Here is a 22339-nt window from a genome sequence, read left to right on the forward strand (position 1 = left end):
GGTACTCCTCTAGGGTCTCCTATTGAGTTAATATAAATGTTGGGATTCAAATAATTTATTAAATCTCTCCAACTTCGGTGGCCATGTGAATTCTCAGAGATCTTATGGAATGCCAGGGTGAATGGAATGGCCAACTAAACTAAGGCACAAATCCTGGTCCAATTGGATGGTAACAGGTCACGGAGGTTTCTCTTCCCACAATACCACCAGATATCAGCCTGGGGTATATGAAGAGCCAAGAAATTACCTTGTTTTACTCACCAGTCATGTTTAGGATGTGGGTACAAGTTGAGAGTTCTCCCATGGGCTTATAGAACTATGTCCCCTGCCTAGAGAGGCAAGAGGAGTGATTCATATTCCCTATGGAGAATGAGAAGATTGCTTTAGGGTCTGATCTTTGCAAGGTGGGAAAGAGCAATGATAGACTTTTGCAAGTCTTATTTCCCCATGCATTCCTGTCCTGGTATAGAGCCAACATACAACACATTCTTTTCGAATTGGTATTCCATCCTAGGGGAAATGGAACCACCTGTGCCTGAGGCCTCTCAGCAGAGCATGCATAACAGTCGCTTTTGTTGAGGGCTAGTACCAAAAATTTGACCCATTGAACCCAACATTTACATCCCCATATCTGGTCTCAATTTTTAAAGTTTGTCTGAGATCAGTTATCTTAATTAATTTTACTCTCTCAGGGTTATTGCCTGGTGAGTTGAAGGAAGTCATGGGACTAGGAGTTATAGTAACCCTGGGTGAGCTCAAGTTTGAGTTGGTGAATAGCCTGAGAGCTAACCATTCCATGAGATCCCTTCCTGAGATATCTATTCCTAATCCATACCTCCAAGGTTCCTGGTCTAAAGTAGCTAGTTTATTGTGATTGATATAGGATTCCATTCTAAATTTTCACAGTTGTGTGGCATGGGGGCCCTTATATATATGTATTTTATCCCTTAAAGTTCTGTTTTTGGAAGAATGACTCACCCAACCTTGAAATTGAGTGGTCCACCAGACCTCATTCCAGCTAGCACAGGGCTTTCCCCAATAGCAGCCCATTTCAGAACATAAATATTTGTCTGCTTATGACAACTGCCTTTGGTTTTTTAAAATTTCCACAAGGTGACTTGGCAGGCATCAAACTTTAGGGTCTCAGGGGTGGAGGCCCTAGTTATGTTGATTATCAGCTTGATTAGGTATTCCCTACTTTCCACCACTAGGCCCCAACCAATACTCGGGCTTTCTTTCACACCTTGTATTAGGATTAATCCTAATCATATCCACCCCCAGTGAAGGGGCTCTCTCATAGTTCCCTTCTAGGTTTTTCTCAGAGTTAACTTTAAGGGTTCCTTAAGTGATTTATACATTTCCTATTAGCCCCTTTTACTTTTTTCTAGGATTTCTTTTACCAGTTTCTTGACCCGAGTATAATGAGTACACCCTCATTCAGCTCTTTGCACTCCTGTCTTCGTGGTCAGGAGCACTTGTTAGGGACCTTCCCAGTTTGGGTGGAGCTTGTTTTCCTTCCAAGTCTTAATTAGCACCAAGTTGCCAGGCTGGAAGTAGTGGACTGTGAACTCAAGAGGCAGAGTTTGAGTCAGAAGTCCTTTTAACTTAAGGGATGACAGGGTAGAGGATATGGCCAGTATATAGTTTCTTAATAATTGGTCTTTAGTTTCCATAGTAGGAAGGTCAGTAGCCCTGCCTAAATACGGGAGTCCATATATTAACTCATAGAGGGACAATCCCAGGTATTTCCTTGAGGTTGTCCTAATCCTAAGGAGTGCTATTTGGAGACATTTTGTCCAAGGCATTTTAGTTTTAAGATGAGTTTGCTAATATGCCCTTTGAGAGTTTGATTCATTCTCTCTAGCTTTCCAGAGGAAGGGGGATGCCAAGGGGTGTGGTAATCTTATCTGATGTGTAAAACTTCCATAATTCCCCTTAGCATCCTCGAGTTTAACTGGCTTCCATTGTTTGAATCGGTATTTTTCACCAAGCCAAATCTGGGTATAATTTGTCTTAAAATGATTTTGATGACATTCTTGGAGGTTGCAGTTGGGAGAGGGAAGGTGTTCACCCAGCCAGAGAGGTGGTCTACTATTACTAGTGGATACTTTAGTCTCCCTTTTATTGGCATTTCTGTAAAATTTACTTCCATGTTTTGAAATGGTCTTAACCCGGGAGGTTTTCCTTCAGTAGTCTGTGCTCTAACTACTGTTTTGTTTATTCTTTGGCAGATCACACAAACTCCACATACTTTTTTAACAAGGATATAAATCCCTATATACCCATAATTCTTCAATATTGCATGACACATATGCTGGGGACCCCAGTGACTTCCTTTGTGCAGCATGAACATTAGTTCTCTCATTATGGGTTTACTTATCATTTTTCTCCCATCAGGGAGCACCCATCTTCCATCTTCAGTTTGAGCGGCCCCTATCTTGCCCAGTTCCTCTTTCCCCTGTTTGGAAAATTGGGGCTTAATACTACCTTAGAGATATCTGGAATTAGGCTAAATAGTCTAACTTTTTCCTCCAGGGAAGCTTGCTTAGCAGCTACATCCATAAGCCTATTGACTACAACCTCCATAGTGTTCCCTTTTTGATGGCCATTTATATGAACTGTGTTACCTCTGCTGGAAGCAAGAGGCTACTGAAAACTTGTGTGACCCATTCCCCTGTAACAATTATTTTCCCCTACTATTTATTAGGCCCTACTCTGTCCAGATCTTTCCAAAGGTTTGTATCACTCCATGGGCATATTTGGGATTAGTATACATAATGCTGTCTTGGCCTTGTAGGAGCTTTAGGGACTGGTTAAGAGCATATAATTTACAGGTTTGGGCTCACCAGCCATTAGATAAGCTACCTTTCTTACATAAGGATTGTTTTTTATTTTTGTTTGTTTGTTTTTTTGTTTGTTTGTTTTCCATTAATGACAACATAGCCATTGTCTCTTGCCATTTATCACTCAGGACGACTCATCCACAAGCAGCCTTATCTCATCATGTAATGGAGCTTCTTTAAGGTCTGGTCTAACTTTGGTTTGATATTCTATGATATCTAAACAGTTATGGTTTGATGCCTCTTTATTCTTCTCTCTTTTCCATAAGAAACTGGCTGGATTCAAGCAAGTATCTGTTGTTAAGACCAAATCATCTTTTCTAGTAATATGGCTTCATATTTTAGAATCTGGGAATCAGTAAACTATCTCCCAGCTTTTTTGATTTAATATACTCCTAACCTGATGCGGGGTGCTCACTAACAGGGCCCCATCCAAGGTCAGATTTCGACTCTCCTCTACCAGCAGGGCCTTGGCAGCTACTGCTGGCACACATTTGGGCCACCCTTTAGAGACAGGATCAAGAAGCTTGGAGATAAAAGCAACAGGTTGCCTCTTCTGACCCCAGGTTTGAGTGAACACCCCAAGGGCCACACCCTGGTCTACTGTTACAAACATATGAAACATTTTTTCTAAAGATGGGAGAGCCAGGACTGGGGTTGGGATGAGGGCTTGCTTTAAATCCTCCATTGCCTTAATGGGGTCCCCTATGGGGACCATTAAGTTACTAGAAGGGTAACCCCATTAAGTTACTAGAAGGGTCAGGTTCCCCTTCTAGTAACTTAAAATACAGAATCTTTTTCTTTAGAGCCTATGAGTTAATCCATAACCTACAGTAATGAGTTAAACCTGAAATTTTTTCAGAGTTCTCTCTTTGTCTTAGGCAAGGGCAGACCCACTATTCCAATATTCTTTCTGAGTTTATTCTCCACTTTCTGTCACCAATTAGATGTCCTAAATATTTAACTTCTTTTTCTACAAATTGCAATTTGTTTTTGGAGGCTCACAATCCCCTTTCCCTTAGGAAACTAAGCAAGCTTATGGTAGCTGCTGATACCACGGCCCTTCTTTCCCCCGAAATTAGAAGATTATCCACATATTGTAACAACTGGGTTTCTCTTGAAGGTTGGAATTCCTCCAGGACGTTTTCTAAGACTTGACCAAATAAGTCTGGGGCTTCCATGAAACCTTGTGGCAGCACAGTCCATTGGTACTGTGGCTTTCTCCCAGTTATGAGATTTTCCTATTCAAAGGCAAAGAGTGTCCTAATCTTAGAGTCTAGGGGACGCCCAGAATGCATCTTTTGGATCCATTACACTGAACCACTTATGTTCATAGGATATTTTACTAAGGAGGCCATAGGGGTCAGGCACCACAGGATGGTGAGTTTGGACACTTTGATTTATATCCCTTAGATTTTGCACTAATCTATGTGACCCATCTGGTTTCTTGACCGGGAGAATTGGAGTGTTGTATGGTGACATGCAGGGTTCCAATAGTCCATCTTTAATTAATTTCTCTATTACTGGTTGAAGAACTTTCCTCCCATTAATGAATATGGGATATTCTTTTCTGAAAACTATTTTTCGTGGTTGTTTTAGTTCAATTTGTAAGGGTGTGATTTTTAATCCTCCCCTGTTGCCTTCCTTAACCCACACGAGGGGATTAATTTTACTTTTTCCCTCCTCTGTTAGGAGGCCTTATCATTACTTTTATTTGCCCCTCCTCTACTCCTAATCCTAAACCTAATCTAATAATCAGGTCTCAACCAAGGAAGCTAGTTTCTGCGTCGGGGACATATAGGAGTGACCACTTAATTTGTTCTGATCCCAGCCTAATTAACACTTTCTTAAATATTGGAAACTAAAATCCCTCCCCCTTCACCCCGATACTGTTAACTTTTCCCTAGAATGTTCTGTGCCCCTTGGTTGGTACATTAGGGAGGAGCAAGCCACTCCAGTGTCTATCAAAAATTTTATTTTTTCCCCTTCTGGTTCCACCCTCAAGTTTATCAAGGGTTCCTGGTGGGACCTGCTCAGAAAGAACCACTGATACCCCTATTCTCCATCAAAATTCATAAAGGGGATCACATTCTCTTCCTTTTTCCATTCCAGACATTCTCTCTTAAAATGTCCTGGTTTTCCAAATTTGTAACATCCACTTGCAGTCTTTGGAGTTGTTCCCTTTATTTCCCTCCTGTCTCTTTTCTGAGACCTAGTATTCTCTCATCTTCTCCAAGAGGGGTCTTGATTTAAACTATTTCTAACTACTTCCTCTACAGTGGAAACCATGATCTTTGCCTTTTGTTTCTGTCTATCTTCCTCTCTTCTTAATAAAAACCTTCTGAAATTCCCTCAGTAATTCCTCAATTGGTTTCTCATTCCGTCTATCAATCTTTTGTAGTTTCTTAGTAATATCAGGCCAGCTTTTAGTTACAAAATTAACATTTAAAAGATCTTGCCCTACTGGGTCCTTTGTATCTAATCTTGAACATTTTCTTATTTGATCCCTGAGCCTCTGCAGAAACTCAGAGGGAGTCTCTTCTTTTTCTTGCTGAATCTCAAATGCTTTCAAGACATTTCGTGTCCTAGAAGTGGACTCTTGAATCCTCCTAATTATTACTTCCCTAAAATCTTGCATTTGGGCCCAATTCCTGGGGTCATTATTATTACATTTGGGATATACAGTTGGGAATTTCTGCCCAGATGGCAGGACTCATTGCCTGGGAGGATGCTCTCTCTCCCAAATGATCATGGCTGCCCTTCTAATCATTCCCCTCTCTTCCCCAGTAAACAGAATATTCATGATTGACATTATTTCAGCCCAACTATAAAGATTACATCCTAAAAATTGATCTAGCTGTTCTGCTAAACCAAGCGGATCTTTTAGAAGTGGCCTCATTTCCTTTTTAAGATTTCTAACCTCAGTACTTGTTAAAGGCACACTCACAAATGCAACTCCTACCTGTCCCATAGGGACTTCTCTGAGAGGGAACCTGTTAGACAGACATCTGCTGTTTGGAGGGAACACATAAATTCTTAATGTCCTTCTTACATTGTTCTAATTCTTTCCTCAAGTTCAGATAATGATTTAAGGGAACACTGGGTTTAATTCCCTTAAGGGCCAGATTTCTCTTCCTCTGGCCTTCCTTTTGCCCCCTGATCTTCCTGTTCTTTATTTTGGGAGACATATGTCGGGGGAAAGCATGTTAGGGTATCCCAGGGATTTTCAATGGGTGAGCGCTCTTTACTACGCTCTTTTTCTCCTTCTTTAAGGGGGAACATGGGGACGAATTACCTGATTCAACAAAGAGCATAACCCATCTCTTCTTGTGAGGATGGAGTTTTATCATTTACATAGAGAATTAAAACTTGGCACATTCTATCCTCCTGAGCCAAACATAGGCCAAAAGACCAAAGACTTATGAATGGGATCTTTGGGCCAGGTAAAACAGCAAAACTTTATCATCTCTTGTTTTTCTTTGTCGGTGGTTTAAGGGCTGTCCCTCCAAACCTTCAGAATTCTCCCCAACAGACTATACAGGTGAATATCAAAGGGGTCTCTTTAGTTCCCTCTTTCCTTTGTTCCCTAGGCCTAGAATTCTTGTTTCCCATTTTTGGTTAGTCTCTGTGTTTGAGCTTTTCCCCGTGTACATTTACATTTATATAAAATTAAAAATATGCAAAATTGAACAAGGCATGCTTTAAAACATATAAATAGATGCTGTATGAAAAGAATATTAGGAATTCTTTACCAACTTTAGGATAGGTTTTAACTCTGGGGATAGTAATCAAAGAAGTACATAGTGAACGAGCTGGTTAATGATATTGTTCCCCCACAGGAGAGAAAGATGGAGAATTTGAACAGGGGAGGACAGAATGGTGGATAAGGCCAACAGTATACCCAAACTGCATCAAATTCAAGTTTCCCATGCTCACCAGATTTTTTCCTATGCCCAACAATGCACACTGGGGTAATTTTTGTTCCTATTACAAACATAAATATTAAAAATACAAGTATCACTCTGTAATTAAGGGATAATAACACAGAAACATGAGAAAAATTGATCACTCAAGTCAATAAAGGAAAAAGGGAAAGATAAACAGGCTTATGGAACATTGTGAAAAATTAAATCTAGAACTCACCAATTTGTTTCAGTTTACTCATGGCATACTACATAAAACTGGGGGATAGTTTAATACTTTGGAAAGAAATATTCAGGAGACTGGCTTTGAAAAAAAAAGATTTTTTTTTAAACCTGCTTCATAATCAATGAAAGAATTATATGCACTAAAGTCAATATGCTAATATTATGCTCATAATTTATAATTCAAAAGTATACTGATCTTAAAATTTTCAACTATTAAATAGTTAATTGATTGGTTTAGATTATAGGTATTTCAAATTAAACACTTAAGCTCTGAATTTTTATTACAATTATTAACAGATACTTCTTTTATGAATTTGAATATTATTTGAATATATGAATACATTTTACATGTATTTCTATTTTATACATATAATCCATAGGTTTAAAAATTTAAATTTTGAAATTAAGTCCCAGTTTCATGTAACATGACAGAGAAAAATTACATTTTGTAAAAGAGAATTAAATTTAACAATATTAAGAGGATGGCTTTTAACTTGTAAAGTACCAGCAATGGCTCATCAAAAGAATTTCTGCCAGTTTCTGGAATGCATATTTGATTAACAGTGCCATAGTACTGGGGGTTATGCCTGTATTTTTAGGACACAAAGACTTACTTATTAATGCACCATTCACAATGACTGTATCAAAATATATGTGACCATTTATGCTCTCTTTTTATTCTGAAGAGTCTTACAAAATAAACCTGTTGTCTCTATGTTTTCATTTAACCCCTGGTTATTGGATGTGTCTTGAAATCAGCTAAAGAAGAGTCAATAAATGCTCTTAATCAGCCCTTTGGTGGCTTATCTATTAAATTAATTTGCATCTTTATCTACTCATCTTTGAAGTCCTGTTGAATCAAATGGACTTATTAAAAAAAAATGAGGGATTTCAACATTCAAATCATAAGGGTTTTTCTCATTAACTTAACAGAATGCTTGAAAAACAAATTTAAATTAATTTTGCAAAGAACTCTTTCTTTGATTCTATTATTAGAAATAAAAACACTTTTAAGGATACTTTTTGGAATCAAATTTTTATAAGTGAGGGACACTAGGAATGTAATTATAATTAGTATGGTTCTTGTGAGTCACTTTATTTTCTCTTAAAAGAGTTATATTTTGAAGAAACAAGTGTTAAAGTAATAATAGGGAAGGAGATGCATTGAACACCATGAAAAGATAGCAAAAGGAGAGGATAGCAATGAAGATTCAAACTCACCTGTGTTTCTGCTCTTAATTTGATGCTGTTTTTTTCTCTTTAATTTATCTCCTGATAGGATTCAGGACAAGTTACCCCCAAATATGGTACCTTGGCATTTGAGAAAACAACAGAAACAGGATGGTCACTCTCTGACCTTCTTATACCTTTCTTTCTTGAAGCGGGTCATAAAACCCTCATGTGAGGGGTGTCTACTATGCACTGGGAGGAAAGGAACAGCCATATCTCTGAAGATAGTGTATTAGTCCATTCTCATGCTGCTATGAAGAAATATCCAAGACTGAGTAATTTACAAAAGAAAAAGGTTTAATTGACTCACAGTTCCACATGGCTTGGAAGGCCTCAGGAAACTTACAATCATGGCAAAAGGTGAAAGGGAAGAAAGGCACCTTCTTCACAGAGCAGCAGGAAGAAGTGGTGAGCAAAGCAGGGGAAAGCCCATTTTAAAACCATGAGATCTTGTGAAAACTCATTATCATAAGAAGAGCATGTGGGGTAACCACCCCTATGATTCAATTACTTCCCACTGTGTCCCTTCAATGACACATGGGGATTATAGGAACTACAATTTTAGATGTGATTTGGGTGGGGACACAATCAAACCATATCATTCCACCCCCAGCAGCTCCCATATATCATGTTCTCACATTTCAAAACACAGTCATGCCTTTACAACAGCCCCCAAATGCTTATCTCATTCCAGCATTAAACCAAAAGTCAAAGTCCAAAATCTCATCTGAGACAAGGCAAGTCCCTTCTGCCTATGAATCTGTAAAATCAAAAGCGAGGTAATTACTTCCTAGATACAATGGCAGTAGAGGCAGTGGGTAAATATACCCATTCCAAATGGGAGAAATGGGCCCAAAGGGTCTACAGGCACCATGCTAGTCCGAAATCTAGTGGGGCAGTCATTAAACCTTACAGTTGGTACATAATCTCCTTTGACACCATGTCTCACATCCAGGTCATGCTGATGCAAGAGATGGGCTTCTATGGCCTTCAGCAGTCTACCCCTGTGGCTTTTCAGGGTACAGCCCCTGCCTCCTGGCTGCTTTCACAGGTTGGCATTGAATGTCTGCAGCTTTTCCAGGAATATGGTGCAAGTTGTCAGTGGATCTACCATTCTGGGGTCTAGAGGACAGTGGCCCTCTTCTTACAGCCCCACTAGGCAGTGCCCCAGTAGAGACTCTGTGTGGGGGCTCCAACCCCACATTCTCTTTCTGCACTGCCCCAGCAGAGGTTCTCCATGAGGGATGCACCCCAGCAGTAAACTTTTCTTGAACCTCCAGTCATTTTCATACATTCTCTGAAGTATAGGTGGAGGTTCCCAAATCTCAATTCTTCACTTTTGTGAACCCACAGGCTCAACACCATGTGGAAACTGCCAAAGCTTGGGGTTTGCATCTTCTGAATTAGTGTCCCGAGCTGTACCCTCGTCCCTTTTAGCCATGGCTGGAGCTGAAGCACCTGGGATGCTGGGTGCCATGTCCTGAGGCTGCGCAGAGCAGGGGGCCCTGTGCCCAGCCTAGGAAACCATTTTTTCTTTCTATGCCTCTGAGCTAGTGATGAGAGGGGTTGCCATGAAGACCTCTGACGCCCTGCAGACATTTTCCCCATTGTTTTGGCAACTAATATTTGGCTCCTCATTACTTATGCAAATTTATGCAGCCTGCTTGAATTTCTGCTCAGAAAATAAGTTTTCCTTTTCTATTGCATCAACAGGCTGCAGATTTTCCAAACTTTAATGCTCTGCTTCCCTTCTAAACATGAGTTCCAATTCCAAATAATCTCTTTCAAGTTCAAAGTTTTACAGATCTCTAGGGGAGGGGCAAAATGCCTCCAAACCCAATGCTAAAGCATAACAAGAGTGACCTTTGCTCCAGTTTCCAAGAAGTTCCTCATCTACGTCTGAGACTACCTCAACCTGGACATCATTGTCCATATCACTATCAGCATTTTGGTCAAAGCCACCCAACAAGTCTCTAGGAAGTTCCAAACATTCCCACATTTTCCTGTCTTTTTCTGACCCCTCCAAACTATTCCATCCTTCGCTTGTTACCTAGTTTCAAAGTTACTTCTACATTTTGGGGTATCTTTATAGCAGTGCCCCACTACTCCTGGCATCAGTTTACCATATTAATCCATTTTCATGCTGCTATGAAGAAATACCCAAGACTGGGTAATTTGTAAAGAAAAAAGGCTTAATTGATTTACAGTTCCACTTGGCTGGGAAGGCCTCAGGACACTGACAATCATGGTGGAAGGTGAAAATACCTCTTCACAAGGCAACAGGAAAGAGAAGGGCTGAGCAAATGGGAAAAAGCCCCTTAGAAAACTATCCGATCTTTTGAGAATTCACTTACTATCACAAGAACAACATGGGAGTAACTGCCCCTAAGATTCAATTACCTCCCACTGAAGATTATGGGAACTACAATTCAAAATGAGATTTGGGTGGAGACACAGCCAAACCATATCAGATAGCAATGCAGAGAAGAAACTAAACAAACAGACCTTGCTAAGTTCTCCCAGTTTGTTACCACTAGATCATGCTCCCTTTGTCCAATCATACTTCTTCACAACTATTCACTTCTTCATCAAACTTTGTGTAAAAATATACAGGTTTTCCTGTTTCTATGGGTATTCATTTCTGAAGGCTCCCATGTTACACAGTATTTAGATTAAATAGAGTATGCCAGGACAGTTAAAGAGGCTTCATTCCAAAATACATTTGTTCATTCATTCAGCAAAATTTCTTTAAGTATCACTGTATGCCAGAAAATATGCTGTGTCACAGTAGATAGTAATCAGCAAGAGGACACAATCTGAAGTTTGCAGAGTATACAACCTAACAGGTGAAAAAATACATCATTAGAAATTGTGATAATAGCAATGAAGGAAAATCAAAGGCCTCAATGACAGAACACTATGAGGTGTCTTTTTCAGATAAATACTATGAGAAGGCCCCTCTGCAGAGCTGACATTTTAGATGAGACCTAAGGATAAGAAGAAGCCAGAAATGTGAGTATGCAAGGGAAGTATTTCCAGAAAGAGTGAACTATAAACAAAATGAATTGACCCAAGAGAGAGCTTACCATTTTTGAAAACTAAAACAAGAACAATGTGTTTAGAGTGTGCTGTGGGCTGAGACTAGTTCAAAATAAAATACAAGATGGATTTGATAGGTAGATTATGCAGTACCTCCTAGGCCATGTTTAAAAGACTAGGTATTGTTATAAGCGCAATGAAGAGACCCAGAATGGAAGATGTGAAAAACACACACGCACTGGGAGAAGAAATGCAGGACCCTGAAATTCTAAGCTGAACATAAAGTCTTAAATGACAGTACTAAAAGCTTATTTCCCAGGCCATGCCTATAAATGTGAAGGTTTGTTGATGTTTATACATGAAATTGTTTGGCTATGTTCAAGTCTTTTATGGTATGGAGACATATAGGTGAGAAGTTCATTTTCATCTTTGTCCTCAAAATTGGCTGACGTATTTAAAATGTCTCTTAATGAATATTTCTTATATACATAAATATTTACAAAGAATAACATAATTCTGTTTATATGTGTTTATCAAACTACCTATGTATTACTATATCCAGATGTCAACGATATTCTTTTTTGGACAGAAGGATCATCATTGAGGACGGGAGGCAGAATTACATTGCAGCTCTGACTCAGATGGATAGAGCAGCATGCAGAGATTCGCATTGTGAATTTTAACTCCAGAATGACTGTAGGAATAAATGGGGAATCCCAAAAGGACCCACAGACTCTCTGAAGGAAGCAGACTGCTCCTGAAGGACCCAGGAGACACCCTAAATACTGTGAGTGCCCAAACTGCAGAAGTGGGAAAGGAAGTTCCTCTTTTCCCAAACACACACCCCCACTGAGGAAACTGAATGTCTGGCTTGCAGCACAAGATTTTGACCTCACCTGGAGCTGAGACAATTTAGAGAGCCAAGCAAAATACAGAAGTAGAGGAGCAACGGAAAGACCCTGGGAGCTTGCTGGGTCCTCAAGCAGGCCATTCCTGCCTGGCATCACAAGGATCCTTAGGGTGTGTGGCCAGTGGCCCAAGGAAAATGCCATAGGAAGAAGGAAGTCTTCAGTTGAACTTTGTAATAATTTGGACCAGTCGAGAAGCCTCCTGGTCAGAACTCGGGGGAGGGCACAAATCTGGTGTGCAGACTCCGCAGGCAGGGGAAGAACTAAAGCTCTTTTCTTTTGCAGCTGGGAGGCAGGTATCCTGGGGCAAGTACTCAACCCTGATTGCCCACTGCCTGGAAACAGACTTGGCTGTTAGGGGGAGCATGATGGGAGTGAGACTGGCTCTTCAGATTGCATGGGAGCTGGGTGATGCCTGTGACTGTGGCTTCCTCCCACTTCCCTGACAACCTGCATGACTCAGCAGAGGCAGCCATAATGCTCCTAGGTACACAACTCCATTGACCTGGTAACCTCACCCACATCCCCCACAGCAGCCACAGTAAGATCCGCCCAAGGAGAGTCTGAGCTCAGACACACATAGCCGTGCCCTGACCTGATGGTCTTTCCCTATCCATCCTGGTAACTGAAAAAAGAGCGTGTACTCTTGGGAGTTCTAGGGCCCCACCCACCATTGGTTGCTCTCCTTACTACCACAGCTGATGCTCTCTGGAAAGCACCACCTCCCAGCAGGATACCAACCAGACCAAAAATAGAACATTAAACCACAAAAGCTAAGAACCCTCACAAAGTCCATTTCACCCTCCTGCCATCGCCACCAGAACAGGTGCTGGTATCCACAGCTGAGAGACCCACAGACAGTTCACATCACAAGACTCTGTGCAGCCAACTCCCAGTACCAGCCCAGAGCCTGGTAGACTTGCTAAGTGGCTAGACCCAGAAGAGAGATAACAATCCCTACAGCTCAGCTGTCAGTGAGAGACAGGACTAGCTGGATTTCCTAGGCTGACTAAGAATCCCTAAGCCTAGCTGGGAAGGTGACTGCATCCACCTTGAAACACGGGCCTTGCAACTTAGCTCACACCAGACCAATCAGGCAGTAAAGAGAGCTCACTAAAATGCTAATTAGACAAAAACAGGAGGTAAAGAAATAGCCAATCATCTATCACCTGAGAGCACAGGGGGAGGGACAATGGTCAGGATATAAACCCCGGCACTTGAGATGGCAATGGCAACGCCCTTTGGGTCCCCTCCCATTACATGGGAGCTCTGTTTTCACTTTATTAAATCTTGCAACTGCACACTCTTCTGGTCTGTGTTTGTTATGGCTTGAGCTGAGCTTTCGCTTGCCGTCCACCACTGCTGTTTGCTGCCGTCCCAGACCCGCCGTTGACTTCCACCCCTCCAGATACGGCAGGGTGTCCGCTGCACTTGTGATCCAGTGAGGCATGTCCATTGCCGCTCCCAATCAGGCTAGAGGCTCACCATTGTTCCTGCCTGGGCTAAGTGCCCAGGGTTTGTCCTAATTGTGCTGAATAGAGCTATAACACTCACTGCATGGCCCAAGATTCCATTCCTTGGAATCCATGAGGCCAAGAACCCCAGGTCACAGAACAAGGGGCTTGCCGCCATCTTGGAAGCAGCCTGCCACCATCTTGGGAGCAATAAGAAAAAGGACCCCCCAGTAACATCAGGAATCCACATCCATAGGAAAAGGGAGAGAGTTCTACATCAAGGGAATTCCCCGTGGGACAAAAGAATCTGAACAACAGCCTTTAGCCCTAGACCTTCCCTCTGACAGAGTTAACCCAAATGAGAAGGAACCAGAAAACCAACTCTGTTAATATAACAAAACAAGGATCTTTAACACAACCAAAAAATCACACTAGCTCACTAGGAATGGATCTAAACCAAGAAGAAATCCCTGGTTTACTTGAAAAAGAATTCAGGAGCTTAGTTATTAAGCTAATCAGGGAGACGCCAGAGAAAGGCGAAGCCCAATGCAAGCAAATCCAAAAAACAATGCAAGAAGTGACGGGAGAAATATCCAAGGGAATAGATAGCATAAAGAAAAAACAATAAAAACTTCAGGAGACATCGGACACATTTATAAAAATGCAAAATGCTCTGCAAAGTCTCAGCAATAGAATTCAACAAGTAGAAAAAAGAAATTCAGAGCTTGAAGGCAAGTTATTTGAATTAACCCAATCCAGAAGCACCAGGTAACCTATAAAGGAAAACCTATGAGATTAACAGTAGATTTCTCAGTAGAAATTCTAAAGCTAGAGTTTCTAGCTTGAAGGGATTGGGGCTAGAAGGGATTGGGGTCCTATCTTTAGCCTCCTCAAACAAAACAATTATCAGCCAAGAATTTTGTAGCCAGTGAAACTAAGCATCATATATGAAGAAAAGATACAGTCTTTTTCACACAAACAAATGCTGAGAAAATTTGCCACTACCAAGCCAACACTACAAGAACCACTAAAAGGAGCTCTAAATCTTGAAACAAATCCTGGAAACATGTCAAAACAGAACATTTCTAAAGTATAAATACACAGGATCTATAAAACAAAAAACCAAGATATACAGGCAACAAATATCACCATGAATGGAATGGTACCACACATCTCAATAATAACATTAAATGTAAATGGCCTAAATGCTCCACTTAAAAGATACAGAACTGCAGAATGGATAAGAATTCACCAACTGACTATCTGCTACCTCAAGAGACTCATCTAACACATAAGGACTCACATAAACTTAAAATAAAAGAATGGAAAAGGCATTTCACGAAAATGGACACCAAAATTGAGCAGGGGTAGCTATTTTTATATCAGACAAAACAAACTTTAAAGCAACAGCAGTTAAAAAAGACAAAGAATGACATTATATAATGGTAAAAGGTCTTGTCCAACAGGAAAATATTACAATCCTAAACATATATGCACCTAACACTGGACCTCCCAAATTTATAAAACAATTACTAATAGACCTAAGAAATTAGATAGACAGCAACACAATAACAGTGGAAAACTTCAGTATTCCACTGACAGCAGTAGACAGGTCATCAAGACAGAAAGCCAATAAAGAAACAATGGATTTAAAATATACCTTGGAATGAATGGACTTAAGAGATATATACAGAACATTCCATCCAATAACCAGAGAATAAACATGCTATTCAACAGCTCATGGAACTTTCTCCAAGATAGACCTTATGATAGGCCAGAAAAAAAACTCATTGAATTTAAGAAAACTGAAATTATTTCAAGCACTCTCTCTGACCACAGAGGAATAAAACTGAAAACCAACTTCAAAGGCACCTGCAAAACCATGAAAATACATGGAAATTAAATAACCTGTTCCTCAAAAATGAAATCAAGATGAAAATTTAAAAATTCTTCAAACTGAATGACAATAGTGACACAACCTATCAAAACCTCTGGGTTACAGCAAAGGCAGTGCTAAGAGGAAACTTGATAGCCCTAAACACCTACATCAAAAGACTGAAAAAGCACAAACTGACATTCTAAGGTCACACCTCAAGGAACTAGAGAAACAAAACAAAACAAATCCAAACCCACCAGAAGAAAGGAAATAACCAAGATCAGAGCAGAACTAAATGAAATTGAAACAAAAAAATATACAAAATATAAATAAAACAAAAACCTGTGTCTTTGAAAAGATAGATAAAATTGGTAGACCATTAGCAAGATTAACCAAGAAAGAAGAGAGAAAATCCAAATAACCTCAATAAGAAACAAATGGGAGATATTACAACTGACACCACAGAAATATAAAGGATCATTCAAGGCTACTGTGACACCTTTCTGCACATAAACTTGAAACGTAGAAGAGATAGATAAATTTCTGGAAAAATACAACCTTCCTAGCTTAAATCAGAAAGAATTAGATACTCTAAACAGACCAATAACAAGCAGTGAGATTGAAAATGGTAATTTAAAAATTACCAAAAAAAAAATAGTCCAGGACCAGATGGATTAATAGCAGAATTCTACCAGACATTCAAAGAATTGGTACCAATCCTATTGACACTATTCCACAAGATAGTATAAAAGGAAACATTTCCTAATTCATTCTATGAAGTCAGCATCACCCTAATACCCAAATTAGGAAAGGACATAACCAAAAAAGAAAATTACAAACCCATATCCCTGATAAACATCAATGCTAAAATCCATGATACAGTACTAGCTAACTGAATCCAACCACATATCAAAAAGATAACCCACCGTGATCAAGTGGGTTTCATACCAGGGATGCAGGGATGGTTCACATATGCAAGTCAACAAATGTGATATACCACATAAACAGAATTAAAAACAAAAATCACATGATCATCTCAATAGATACAGAAAAAGCATTTAACAAAATCCAGTGTTGCTTTATGATTAAAACTCTCAGCAAAATCAGCATACAAGAGACATACCTCAATGTAATAAAAGCCATCTATGACAAGCCCACAGCCAACATTATACTGAATGGGGAAAAGTTGAAAGCCTCCCCTCTGAGAACTGGAACAAGACAAGGATACTCATTTTCACCACTTCTATTCAACTTAGTACTGGAAGTCCTAGCCAGAGCAATCAGAGAAGAGAAAGAAATAAAGGACATCTAAATTGGTAAAGAGGAAGTCAAACTGTCACTGTTTATTGACAATATGATTGTTTACCTCAAAAACCTTAAAGACTTCTCCAGAAAGCTCCTAGAACTGACAAAATAATTCAGCAAAGTTTTCAGATACAAGATTAGTGTACACAAATGTAGTAAATCTCCTACACATCAATAGTGACCAAGCAGCAAATTAAATCAAGAACTCAAGCCCTTTTACAATAGCTGCAAAAAATCTGAAATATTTAGGAATATACCTAACCAAGGAGGTGAAAGACCTCTACAAAGAAAACTACTAAACACTGCTGAAAGAAATGAGAGATGACACAAACAAATGAAAACACATCCCATGTTCATGGATGGGTAGAATCAATAGTGTGATAATGACCATACTGCCAAAAGCAATCTACAAATTCAATGCAAGCCCCATCAAAATACCACCATCTTTCTTCACAGAAAGAAAAAAAAATCTAAAATTCATATGGAACCAAAAAAGAGCCCACATAGCCAAAGCAAGACTAAACAAAAATAACAAATCTGGAGGCATCATACTATCTTATTTCAAACTACACTCTAAGGCCATAGTCACCAAAACAGCATGGCACTGATACACAAATATTCACATAGACCAATGGAACAGAATAGAGAATCCAGAAATGAACCCAAATACTTGCAGCCAACTGATCTTTGACAAAACAAACAAAAACATAAAGTGAGGAAAGGACACCCTTTTCAACAAATGATGCTAGGATAGATAATTGGCTAGCCATATGTAGGAGAATGAAACTGGACCTTCATCTCTCACCTTAAACAAAAATCAACTCAAGATGGATCAATGACTTAACTAAGACTTGAAACCATAAAAATTCTACAAGATAACATCAGAAAAACCCTTCTAGACATTGGCTTAGACAAGGATTTCATGACCAAGAACCCAAAAGCAAATGCAATAAAAACAGAGATAAATAACTGGAACTTAATTAAAATAAAGAGCTTTTGCACAACAAAAGGAACAGTCAGCAGAGGAAGCAGAAAAACCACAGAATGGGAGACAATTTTACAATCTGTATATCTAACAAAGGTCTAATATTCAGAATCTACAAGGAACTCGAATCAACAAGAAAAAAACAATTCCATCAAAAAGTGGGCTAGGGACATGAATAGATATTCTCAAAAGAAGATATACAAATGGCCAACGAACATTATGAAAAAATGATCAACACCTCTAATGATCAGGGAAATGCAAATCAAAACCACAATGTGATACCACATTACTTCTGTAACAATGGCCATAATAAAAAAATCAAAAAACAGTAGATGTTGGTCTGGATGCCAGGGAACACTTCTACACTGTTCATGGGAATGTAAGCTAGTAAAACCGTTATGCAAAACAGTGTGGAGATTCCTTAAAGAACTAAAAGTGAAACTACCATTTGAACCAGCAATCCCACTACTGAGTATCTGCCCAGAGAAAAAGAAGGCATTACACGTAAAAGATACTTGCACACATATGTTTATAGCAGCACAATTTGCAATTGCAAAATCGTGGAACCAACCCAAATGCCCATCAATAAACTAGTGGATAAAGAAACTGTGGTATATTTATATACAATGGAATACTACTCAGCCATAAAAAAGCATGAATTAATGGCATTCACAGTCTCCTGGATGAGACTGGAGACTATTATTCTAAGTGAAGTAACTCAGGAATGAGAAACCAAACATCGTATGTTCTCACTGATACGTGGGAGCTAAACTATGAGGACACAAAGACATAAGAATGATACAATGGACTTTGGGGACTTGGGGGTAGGGTGGGAGTGGGGCAAGGAATAAAAAATAAACTGCAATGAGAAGCTTTTGAAATGGTTTCAAAAACATATTAGCAATGCAGACCAGTTTGAAGGTTATTTTGGTGTTCCGGTGAAAGAAATGTACCTTGATCTTTAAGGTGGTGACAGTAGCAGAGGAAACAAGTAACTGAGAAACTAGAAAAAACAAGTAATGGAATTTGGAGATGTATGTAATTAAGGTATTAAAGAGAAGGAAGTACCAAGAATGACCCCAAATTTGCTCTAAAGGTAAATGGTAATGATATTTGAGGAGATGAGAAAAACAGATAGAAAAACGACTAGTATGAAAGAAAATCAAGAGTTCAGTTTTAAATGTATTAAATTTAAAAGTGTTGAGAGGGCCAGGCACGGTGGCCCATGCATGTAATCCCAGCAGTTTGGAGGCCCAGACAAGACGATTTCTTAAGGCCAGACGCTCAAGACCAGTCTCAGCAATATAGCAAGACCCAGACTCAAAAACAAACAAACAAACAAACAAACAAAAAAAGAATAAATAAAAGTCTTGAAAGACATTCCACTCTAGGTGAAAAACAGATAAACATATGAGTATGGAACTCAAAAAAGTGGTCTACTTTGGAGATATATATTAAAGTGGTCTACTCTGGAGATATACATTTAGTGCAAAGTGTCTTAAAGATGTCCTTTAAATAACCTAAGAAGAGAATGCAGAGAGAGAAGAGAGACCTCAGAACAATGAAGACTTCTAATATTTGGACTTTAAATAGAAGAAGAGGACCTAGACAAGGACACTGAACAAGAATTGCTAGAGGATCAGGAAAATGTTTAGTTGATATGCCAAGGGGAAAGAATGCAATGAGGCGGCAGCATCTCTAAGAAAAAGATAATAGTTAACTGCCAAATATTCTTACTATTGAACAAAGGCTAGAATCAGGATATGAGCAGAACTATAAGAATGTAGGCTATGTCAAAACATCACAGAGCCCCTGAATATGGCACCAGGACTCAGGCAAAGTGTAGGAATGTGATGCCAAGCAACTTTAAAGGCAAGGCAAGAATATAAGCTTAAAAGTTAAAGGTTTAGTCTTATGAAATATGAAAATGTGTTTAGAATTGTGGATGTCCCAATAGAATACCCCCTTTCTCTGGCTGAGTTTAATATAAAGTGAGACAATAGACAGAAAAGAGTGTAACAGATTCCTTTATCACTGATAAGACCTAGATTGGATGGTACAGGAATAAATGACATCCTACTAGTGAAACACAAAATTATAGAGTCTTCGCCATTTAGTCGCAGGAATATTATAGGCTTTCCATATAGGAGATCAACCCATACAAGACTAATGGCATAGGGAACTAGACCAGAGAAATTTGCTTTCTTTGAGGTTTAGGATTCCAAATTCACCACCTCAGAAATTACTCCAAGTTCCCTTGGAAAGTAGTGCATGTGGGAATAGGCTAGAGATTAGGAGGTCTTAGAATAATCTCATTTTGTGGAAACCAGAGGAGACAGACTGGGAAAAAACATCCTCCTCACATCCCAACAGACATGCTTGTTGACAACGTGATAAATGTCAAGTTCTTGGTCAGGAAATAAAGGGTGGAGCTAATAAAATTGGAGTACAGAACAGAGAATCCATTGTCTAGGACGTCTTGGGGCTGAATAACACAAACATTACTGAGCAAAAGTTCTTAAACTTCACCATCAATAGCGACAGGATTGAACTTGGAACTGGAGAAAGATTTGATCTTTGAAGGGGCTTAAAGTGGCTCCAGTTGTGAATACAAAAAACAAAAAATGGGCCACGTAAATAGACCATTGCCATGGATAACAAGGCACTATAGTAAACGGATAACTAGCCAGAAGTTATCCCTCTTACATAAGAAAAAAAGAAAAAAATAATACTCTATATGACATAAAGAAAAACTTATAATGCTGGAGAAATGATGAAATCTGTTTCTAGGTTACAGGCAGGTAAAGACATAGGTGATTTGACTTTGATTCCAAATACATTTATCTCAAGCCATACAAGAGTGATTTTCATACACAGGTCAAAGAGAAATGGCAATATTTAATTTTTCATTTATAAAATATGCAGTGTAGTAATCAGAATGTTTTAGTTTAAAATGGCAAAATCCTAACTCAAACTAGACACCCAACCTGGGGTCTAATAGGAGAAACTTTTAAAAGGAAATTGATTGTTATTAACTGGGAAGTACAGGTGTGGTTTGGGTCTCGGGTCTGAGAGGGGCACAGATTATAAATTCAAATCTCTCTCTCTCTGTGTTTGTGTGAGAGACAGAGAGTTTGATGTTTTCTCACTTCTCTGTTCTCATACATATTTCCTTCTCACTCTATATACACTTGATACAAAGCTTTGTGCATGTTTCTCTATGAACTAATTCCAGGGAAATGGCAAGAGATTGCTTTAATCAATACCACCACTGAGTGGTTTTTATGAAACTTTTCTGTGAAACTGAAAATGAAATTGTCTAGATAAAGAAATTATAAAATCATACCCCATTTAAAATAGACTCAGCCATATGAGCTGGACTCATCAGAGAAAAGTGTGCCTCTTCCTCTGGTGGAAGCAGGCCTGTGTCGGCACATGGCTTGACAAGTGGCATTTAGGCTGAATTTCATCTCCCAGTCACTAACTTTTATCTGCCTTTGTGCAGCCAGCAGGAGTCCTTGGTGCCAGGCTTACATTATTCCATAAAAACAACTGAAAGAAACAGAAAACTCCCTCTCAAAATGCACATATGTAATAACCCCAACAAAGACTCAATGACTGCATCAATGTGGTCACAGATTAGGATGCTTTGATTAGCTAGCACTTGCAGAAACACATGGCATGTGGGGTGGGCATTCTGCCAAAAGGGAAGGGTGTTGTTCCCATATGAAGAAAAAAGGGCTGCTGAGTAAAACAAAGCGACAAATGTTCCCTGCCTTCCTATTCTCACCTCTCTCACACACATACGCACACTACCAAACACACAAACAAAAACGCTTATCTTGACTATCATACTTCAGCTATCCAGCTACCCTTTTCCTCTTATCTCTTTTGAATGCAGGTTTCTGAATAAAACAGTTCCTAAAATTGCTGTCTCCACTTTTTCTTTCACTTCTTCTTCAGCTCAGTCTGATCTTTCTCAAATCAATCTACCAAAACAGTGCTTGCTAAGGTTACACACAACTTTCTTGTTAAATCAAAGAAATATATATATATTTATTTATTTATTTAAAATATTTAAAATATTTAAAAAATATATATATTTAAAAAATATATATTTATTTATATAAAATATATATATATTTCTAGTTTGTATCTAACTTGACATCTTAGTAGAATTTGACTTCAAAGATCACGCCTCTCCTTTCTTGAAGAAGTCCTCCTTCGACAAAAGTGACTCCACATTGTCTCGATTTTTCTGCCATCTCTGGCCAATTTCTTTTTAGTGTTGTTGCATTTTCATCTGTTTTATTCCAACTATTAGATATTGGAGCATCAGGAATTTTCATGCTTGGTCTACTCCTCTTTCCTCATTTTACATTCTATCCCTAAGCAATCTCATCCACAATTATATCTTAAAATATACAGAGATGGCTGAAAATCTGGACCCACAGCTAAAGCATCCCCTCTGAGCTATGATTGCATCAAACTGCCATGTTGAAAATTGCTTTTGGCTATCTTAGAGGCACTTTTAATTAAATATGTTCCTAGTTA

At 39.0% G+C, this 22339-nt stretch overlaps 1 protein-coding gene across 5 annotated transcripts in view, besides 2 other annotated features; it reads right to left on the reverse strand.

The window, feature by feature from the left end:
- Positions 1-261: 261 nt before the first annotated feature.
- Positions 262-22339, reverse strand: part of PABPC4L (poly(A) binding protein cytoplasmic 4 like) — a 253443-nt gene continuing 231365 nt past the window's right edge. For all 5 annotated transcript variants that reach the window (XR_001741133.2, XR_007096357.1, XR_001741139.2 and 2 more), the window contains 2 exons: positions 8210-8299; positions 262-360 (listed from right to left, as the gene is read on the reverse strand). The gene's annotated coding sequence lies outside the window, so the exon portion shown is untranslated. The remainder of the gene's footprint in view (positions 361-8209; positions 8300-22339) is intronic.
- Positions 12657-13156: an enhancer, noted in NCBI's record as "H3K27ac hESC enhancer chr4:134882009-134882508 (GRCh37/hg19 assembly coordinates)". NCBI's record gives its function as "activates a minimal SCP1, AML or CMV promoter by ChIP-STARR-seq in naive H9 embryonic stem cells {active_cell/tissue: H9 hESC(naive)}" and the evidence as "EXISTENCE:reporter gene assay evidence [ECO:0000049][PMID:30033119]".
- Positions 21297-21591: a silencer, noted in NCBI's record as "tiled region #7344; HepG2 Repressive non-DNase unmatched - State 24:Quies". NCBI's record gives its function as "represses a minimal TATA promoter and a strong SV40 promoter by Sharpr-MPRA in HepG2 cells {active_cell/tissue: HepG2}" and the evidence as "EXISTENCE:reporter gene assay evidence [ECO:0000049][PMID:27701403]".

Source organism: Homo sapiens, chromosome 4 (genome assembly GCF_000001405.40).
Source record: "Homo sapiens chromosome 4, GRCh38.p14 Primary Assembly".
Lineage (NCBI taxonomy): Eukaryota > Metazoa > Chordata > Mammalia > Primates > Hominidae > Homo > Homo sapiens.